This window comes from Homo sapiens, chromosome 9 (genome assembly GCF_000001405.40).
Source record: "Homo sapiens chromosome 9, GRCh38.p14 Primary Assembly".
Classification (NCBI taxonomy): domain Eukaryota; kingdom Metazoa; phylum Chordata; class Mammalia; order Primates; family Hominidae; genus Homo; species Homo sapiens.
The window spans coordinates 122,361,082-122,368,859 of record NC_000009.12 but is presented as its reverse complement, the minus strand read 5'-3'; the positions used below and the strand labels follow the sequence as shown (position 1 = coordinate 122,368,859).

General features: G+C 48.9%; 1 annotated feature.

Annotated features, from left to right (window-relative positions):
• Positions 3,919-5,118: an enhancer, noted in NCBI's record as "BRD4-independent group 4 enhancer chr9:125126021-125127220 (GRCh37/hg19 assembly coordinates)". NCBI's record gives its function as "activates an origin of replication core promoter dependent on BRD2, P300/CBP, MED14 and CDK7 cofactors, and independent of BRD4, by STARR-seq in HCT116 cells {active_cell/tissue: HCT116}" and the evidence as "EXISTENCE:reporter gene assay evidence [ECO:0000049][PMID:35650434]".

Below are 7,778 nucleotides of genomic sequence, written 5' to 3'. Positions count from 1 at the left end.
GCCCATGGGCCAGCACCCCCAACCGCCCCAGCATGCAGCTGGATACACAGGGGAGAGGTCTGGGGTAGCCCTTGCCCCAGCCCTGGGAAAGAGACCACAGCACAGGGCCACCTTTTCCTGCTCCCTACTGCAAAGCTATAGTCTAAATGCCTAGGACTGGTGTCACCATCCTAGTCCTCAAGATTGTGAGCTTCCACTTATAGGGCAAGTCCACCTCCCATGTCCCCTGGTAGGCCTCCTCTAACATGCCTCCTCCTCCCCCTTCTCTCCTCTAGGAAGCCCCTGTGCCTTCCCTGGCCACAGCAGTGCCACTCCTGATCACATTGTCCCTCTGCCCCCAAACATTATGAGGCTATAAGAGTCCTGGTCACTCTTGTAGCCCCAAGGCCAAGCATAGGATCTGGCGGATAAAAGACATCCAGGGAATGTTTGTTGCTTGAACAAAGAAATGAATGAGTATCTAAAAGAGTAGTGAATGCATTAAAAAAACAGACCAGGTCCAGCACCAGCCTCATCGAAGTGACTGCCAACCACCCATCTGCTGTGACGGCCACCAAAAGTATCACTGCCTGCCTCAGTTTCCCTGCCTTCTCCAGCTTGTCCCATGGGCCAGCACCCCCAGCTGTCCCACAGGCCCAGCTTCACCCCAGGCCCTGAGCCCTTCCCAGCTAAGGCAGCAAGGACCTCCTTCCCTATACCCCACTGGTAACAAGGGATAGGATTTCTCTCTGCATAGCCCCCTCCCCATTATCCACACCAATCACGTGCCCTCCTGCTCACCCTAGCTACAGCCTGGATTGTAATGCTCCTGGAGAGGTCTCACTCCTGCTGGGCCCCACCCACTATTTGGAAAACCAGAGCTGACTCTTACCTGAATCACTCATGGACCCAGCCCCACCCGGCCCCACCTGTGTAGGCAGCTTCTCAGTCAGGCAGGAAGGCTCTGGACTCAATCCAATATCTCTTCAAATCCCAGTCCTCCACCCCACCTGACCTCTCAGTGTGACCTTAAGCAGCAAACTGCCCTTTGTGGACCTCAGTTCCCCCACCTGTAAAAACGTGGTTAATAATGCCACTCTTGCAAGAGTTGTTGTGAGGATGAAGTAAGATAGTCCCTGTGAGCATCCCCAGCATTCAGTAGGAGCTCAATGCTAGTTCTTTATTGGCCCTCGCTTCTACTCCCTACCTGAGCAAGAGGGTTGCATGAAAAATTCCCTTCCTCCTCCTCTTTACCTACTCAGAACCAGGCTAGGGTTGACCATTGGAGGTAATAATAATAATGGCTAATATTTCTTGAATATCTACTATGTGCAGGGTAGAATGCTATGTGTTTTAAATGCACTGTTACATGTGATTTTTCTCAACAACCTTATAAAGTCAGTATCATCACTTCCATTTACAGAGAAAGAAAGTGAGGCCCAGTGTTGAAGCAGCTTGTCCAAGATGCACAACCAGTAAGAGTCAGGTTTCAAGGCCCAACCCTTTTGTTCTGGAATACCGGGTACCTGTACCCAAGCCCCAGCATAACCAACGAGTGTTTGAAGTTAAAAGGAAACAGAAAGGCTCGCTAGGGTGGTAGTCGGCTTGTGGAGCGATGTGTGGGATCCAATTTAAGCAACATAGTTCAGCTGAGAAGCTGAGAACTGAGAGTCACAAAATAATGTTTTGGTTTTGGTTTTGGTTATTTTTTGTCAGGGTCTCACTCTGTTGCCCAGGCTGGACTGCAGTGGTGCGAACTTGGCTCACTTCAGCCTTGATCTCCTGGGCTCAGGTGATCCTCCTACCGCAGCCTCCTGAGTAGCTGGAACTACCGGGTGCATATCACTATGCCCAGCTAATTTTGTTTTATTTGTTTTTTTGTAGAGACGGGGGTCTCACTATGTAGCCCAGGCTGGTCTTGAACTCCTGGGCTCAAGTGATCCTCCCACACTGGCCTCCCAAAGTGCTGGGATTACAGGCATGAGCTACCACACCCGGCCTACCAAATGCGTTTACATCCCTTTCTCATGGAAACCCTCACAATTGCTGGAAGAAGAAGGTATCATGATCCCCATTGTGCAAAGAGGAAAATGAGGCTCAAAGATGTCCGTAGATTATGCAGAGAGGAAGAAAAGTGGGAGGAGTTTTAACCACTTCTGGGGCACTTACCATGTGGCAGACATTATGCTAAAGATTTTTGGTGCATCATCCCCTTTATAACTCCTAACAGCCCCATGAGGTAGATGTTCCTCTTGTCTCCATTTTTATAAACAGGAAAATTAACTGACTTGCTATAGCCTATACCACAGGCTATATATGGGTGGTAGAGCTGGGATTTGAGCCATGGCCTGTATGATTTCAACATTTACAAGTGTAACTCCCTATTACGCTCATCGCTGGTTATCTTGGATCTCAAACCCTGAATCCTTAAACAAACACCCAAATCCTGCCAGGAATGGGCCAAGAAGATAAACAAGCAGGAGACTCTAAGTGGAGAGTCCCCAAGTTCATCTGGGGAGTTTCCACTGCAGGTGCCCTGTCCCGCAGACCTCTCCACTAGACAGCCAGCACCATCTGCTTGGCACAGGATGGCTGAGTGGTCACACCATGGCATCCTCCCCAGCCAGCCCCCACCATCAGTGTAATCCGCAGAGCCTCAGACATCAGCTCCTGGGATCAGGGGACTCAGCCACCTGTGACGGACAAACCAGGGGAAAGAGCCATTCTCTGGCTAGGGGACGTTGCTCAGGAAGTTTATGGGGCTGTAAAATACAAGTCCTCTCACCCCACTTCCTTCTCCACCATAGTTGAAGGAAGAGGAAGTGTTTCCACAACCCTCGTCTGGCATGTGGAACACTCTCCTAATTCTGCTTAGAACATTCAATAGCTCCCATCATCCCCAGACCTCAGCCTGGACTTCAGGCCCTGCCATTTGCTAAGCAGCAGGATATCATAGAAAGAGCCCTGGAATGGGGACCCAGTCTGTCTGATTTCTTGTAACATGACCCCCTGAAATCACTGCATGACCTTGAGCTAGTAACTCTTCCTCTTGGACCTCAGTTTCCCTACCTGTTAACTAAGCTTGGTGAACTAGCCATGCTGAGGATGAAGAGCAGGAGTTTTGGCGTAAGGCAGACCTGGGTTCAGAGCCCAGCTTCAATTCTAGCTGTGTGAATTTGAACCAGTCATTTGTCATCTCTGAGCCTCAGTTTCCTCATCTGAAAATGAGGAAAATAATAGTATTTGTTTCCTGGGACCGTTGTGAGAATAAAATCACTTAGCTCAATTCCTAACATTCAGGAGGCACTCAGTAAGTAATAATTACTGGTAGAATTATTATAATTAATAAGTATAAAATTACTCCAATTCTGTCATTATGGCCCCAAAGGCAAGAAAAAAAAAAAAGTTGGACTAGACGCTTAGAAAGAATTTAAGAGAGAATAGCGGCCAGGCGCGGTGGCTTATGCCTGTAATCCCACTTTGGGAGGCCAAGGTGGGAGGATTGCTTGAGTTCAGGAGTTCAAGACCAACCTGGGCAACTTAGCAAGACTCCATCTCTCTAAAAAAACAAAAGAGAAAGAGAGAATGGTTGCAGGCAAGTGCTAGCTTAGTGTATCAGGAATGCATGTGGTTACATATATCAAAAACCCCAAATATGGAGGCCTAAGCCCAAAAAAGGAGGGAGAATTATTTCTCTCAGATGACAAGAAGTCCAGAGGTAAGCAGCCCAGCCCTGTTGTGGCTTCTCGGCGTCTCAGCAGTGCCATCAGGAGTCCAGATTCTTTCCATCTTTCCGCTCCGTCATCCTCAAAATAGTTTGTGTCCTTGCAGTTAGCACTTCATGCCCATGTTCCAAACAGGAAAAGGTTGGAAAGGGAAGAGACAGCCTCAGGAGATTTCCACTTTATATTTCTTTCACCAGAACCGTGTCACGTGGCCTCACTTGGCTGCAAAGCAGGTTGAGAAATCGAATTTTTTGGAATAGACAGGGAAGGGACAGTGAGTCGGAAATGTCTCCCAGACTCCAGAAAGAGCCTCGTTCTAGCATGAGCTGTGGTTTCTGACGGGTGGCTTCTCTGGAGAATCCAGTAACCAGTGCATGCTGCAGACAGCAGAAGTGAGCAGACTTCTCTTGTCCCAAGATAAGGTCTGGGAATAGCAAGACCACAGTGGGTCAGAGCCAGCTGCTCCCTAGGAGAAGGCCCAATCCAGCCCCACTCAGGTGACAAAATCAGAGACTCAAAGCCAGGAAGGGACTTGCCCAAACAGGCCAGGTATCTTTCCTCACTGTGCTATGGCCTCTTGTAAAGTAAGCGACCTTGGAACAAATCACATAAGAAACAGTGTGACCCAATGCAAGGACACCTCCTCCTTAGAAAACCTACTCCCATTGAACTGATAATTTAGGGGACAAGAATCCACACTTCCAAAAACTCCTTCTGTTCTCAGGCAAGAACCGTAAAAGTCCATTTTCTCAAGCCTTTCAAACAGAACTGGACTGACTGACTCGTCAGTTGCATGGAATGCGCGTTCCTGCTTTAACACTTCATTAATAACTTACCGTCATTCAGCCATATACAGTATAAAGAAACATTTTTGCTTACGTTATCTTCCCTTTTGATCTACACAGCAATTTTTTGATGTAGATGTTTTATGTTTGTTTTGTTTTGTTTTGTTTTTTTGAGACAAGGCCGCACTCTGTTGCCCAAGCTGGAGTGCAATGGCATGATCACGGCTCACTGCAGCCTCGACCTCCTAGACTCAAGCAATCCTCCCACCTCAGCCCCCTAAGTAGCTGGGATTACAGGCACTCACCACCAAGCCTGGCTGATTTTGTTTTGTTTTGTTGTTGTTGTTGTTTGTTTTTTGTTTGTTTGTTTTTCTAGAGACAGAGTTTCACCATGTTACCCAAACTGATCTTGAACTCCTGAGCTCAAATGATCTGCCCGCCCTGGCCTCCCAAAGTGCTGAGATTACAGGTGTGAGCCCCCGTGCCTGGCCAACGTAGGTGTTTTTAGCCCCTGAATAAGTGAAGATTATTTCTATTACAAGCAACAGACACAATTCTAACTAATTTTTGCAAAAGAAGGGGAAGTATTTTCTCTCAAGCTGAAAATCCATAGACAGGCAAGGCTGTATCCAGAAATCATATCAGGTTCTCTCTCCTACCCACCGCTGCCCCTCTCTCTCTCCACCCCACCTCTCTTCTTCTCCCTCTCATCTCCTTCTCCTTTTCCTCTTGTTGGCTTCATCCTCAGGCAGGTGCTCCCCAAGTGATGTTACAGAGGTCTCAGGCAGCTCCAGGCTTACACTGTTCTCATGCCCCAATCCCATATGGTAAGAGAATGCCTGTCTCTTGGCCTTTTTCTTGGTACCAGGAGTTCCTGGGACACTTGTAATTGCTCCAGGGCTAGCTCATGCACCTATACCTGAACCAACGGCTGTGAACAGGAAGATGGAATGTCCGCATGCTGACTGGCCAGTCCCAGACCACATGCCCAGGCGACTGAGAATGGGAGCAGGATGTTCCCCAATAGAAAACTGGTTGCAGTCGGCCTGGCACAGTGGCTCATGCCTGTAATCCCAGCTCAGGGAGGCTGAGGCGGGTGGATCACGAGGTCAGGAGATCCAGACCATCCTGGCTAATACGGTGAAACCCCGTCTCTACTAAAAATATAAAAAGTTAGCTGGGCAAGGTGGCGGGCGCCTGTAGTCCCAGCTACTGGGGAGGCCGAGGCAGGAGAATGGCGTGAACCCGGGAGACAGAGCTTGCAGTGAGCCAAGATCGCGCCACTGCACTCCAGCCTGGGTGACAGGGCGAGACTCTGTCTCAAAAAAAGAAAAGAAAAGAAAAGAAAACTGGGTGCAGTCACCCAAAGAAGAGGGAAGGGGCACGGGACAGGCAGAAACAGCTGATGACCACCAGCACTGCGTTTCTCCATTTGACAAAGAATCCAAAGCTCCAAGAGGGGAAGTGTCTTTTGTCTGGAGCCTCGGAGCTGGTAGGTTAGGAGCCTTACTGGCCCTGGGTCCTGGGCCTGGATGGAGAGAAGGGGGAGGGCCATGTGGTGAGGGCACTCTTGCATGTCCAGAGCCTAGCTTGCTTCAGACCTCCTCAAGAGAGAGGGAGAGGGGTTTGCAAGGATGCCGGAAGCCAAAACTGCTTCTTCTCCATACTTCTTGGTATTTGCTTAAGCAGGAAAAGACCTTCGTGTTTATTGAGCAACCAAGGCATGCTAGATACTTCTGGTACTTCACATACATAATGTCTCCAATCATGTTTTTCAGAGGTGGAAACTGAGGCTAAGAACGTAAAGCGACTTGTCCAAGTCACACAGTCTTGGAATGGTAAGGCTGGGACTTGGCCGAGGTCTGGAATGACTCCAATGCCTGTGCTCTTTTCTTGAATATTTTCTCAATGGGGTGCTGTTGACAATGTGTGTAGGACTGTCCTGCGCAGGGCAGAAATCTTAGCTGGCTAACAACCAAAATTTGCAACCCTTCCTCCGCCCCACATATCCAACTTCCACCCTCAGAAAGCTACCTCTGTCCCTGGATAACAACCTCAACCACCCTCACCAGCTCTGGTTCCTTTCCGTGGGCCCAGGGACTCACATAGAGAAAGCATTTGGCCGGGCGTGTTGGCTCACGCCTGTAATCCCAGCACTTTGGGAGGCCAAGGCGGGAGGATCACTTGAGCCCAGGAGTTCAAGACCAGCCTGGCCAACATGGTGAAGCCCCGTCTCTACTAAAAATACAAAAACTAGCCAGACGTGGTGGCACATGCCTGTAGTCCCAACTACTCAGGAGGCTGAGGCAGGGGAATTGCTTGAACCCGGGAGGTGGAGGCTGCAGTGAGCCAAGATCATGCCACTGCACTCCAGCCGAGGTGACAGAGCGAGACTCTGTCTCAAAAAAAAAAAAAAAAAAGAGAAACTATTTAATAAATGTTTCCTGAATGAATGAATGGAATACTCTTGAGTTGATCAAAGAGGACTAGGTGTGAATCCCAGCTGTACCATTTACTAACCAGATGGCATTGAGCAAGCTACTTAAATCCTCTGTGTCTCAGTTTCCTCGTCTATAAAATGGGGGGCAATCCTAGCACCATCCTCATAGGGTTGTTAGGAGGATCAAATGAGTTAATGCTTGTAAAAGGCTCAGGACACTGCCTGGTGCTTAATAAGGCTTTCACCAGCCTTTGTTAAATGGATGAATGAATGAATGACTATTTATATGTTTGTAAACTATAAACTCTGATTACAGTTCACACACACTTTGGCTTTTGTTATCTTGTTTGATCCTCTCCATCACCCTGCAAGAGAGCATTATGTACATTTTACAGATAAGGAAACTCAGGCAAAGAGAGATGAGATGACTCGGCTAGAGATTTCTGCTTGTTGAACTGCAGTTCCAAAATTTCAGGCTCTGGCTTCTCTCTATGTGTGCTATCCCCACAAATATACATATTTTAAGCCAAGAATGAACAAGAAATGAAGGAGCTGCTGGGATCCTGATCCCAGCCCCTCAGAGCAGCTTGACAGGGAGAGCTGCCCCGGCTCCACAGCTGGGAGGAGTCAGTCTTCCCTCCATCCAACCTGGGGCTCTCTTGTGGGGCTGCCCAGTAGTTGTGTGGGGTAAATGTGGGGTGTTTGTGTTGGTGGGGAGGGATGTGTGTGTTGTGGTGGGGCGGGGTTATGTGAGTCACCAAGGCACCGGGGAAGGAGGAGGCCCAGCCATCCAGCCAGGACCACAGGACCACAAGAAAGAACTGGGTGGTGAGTAGGACGTGCAGCCGG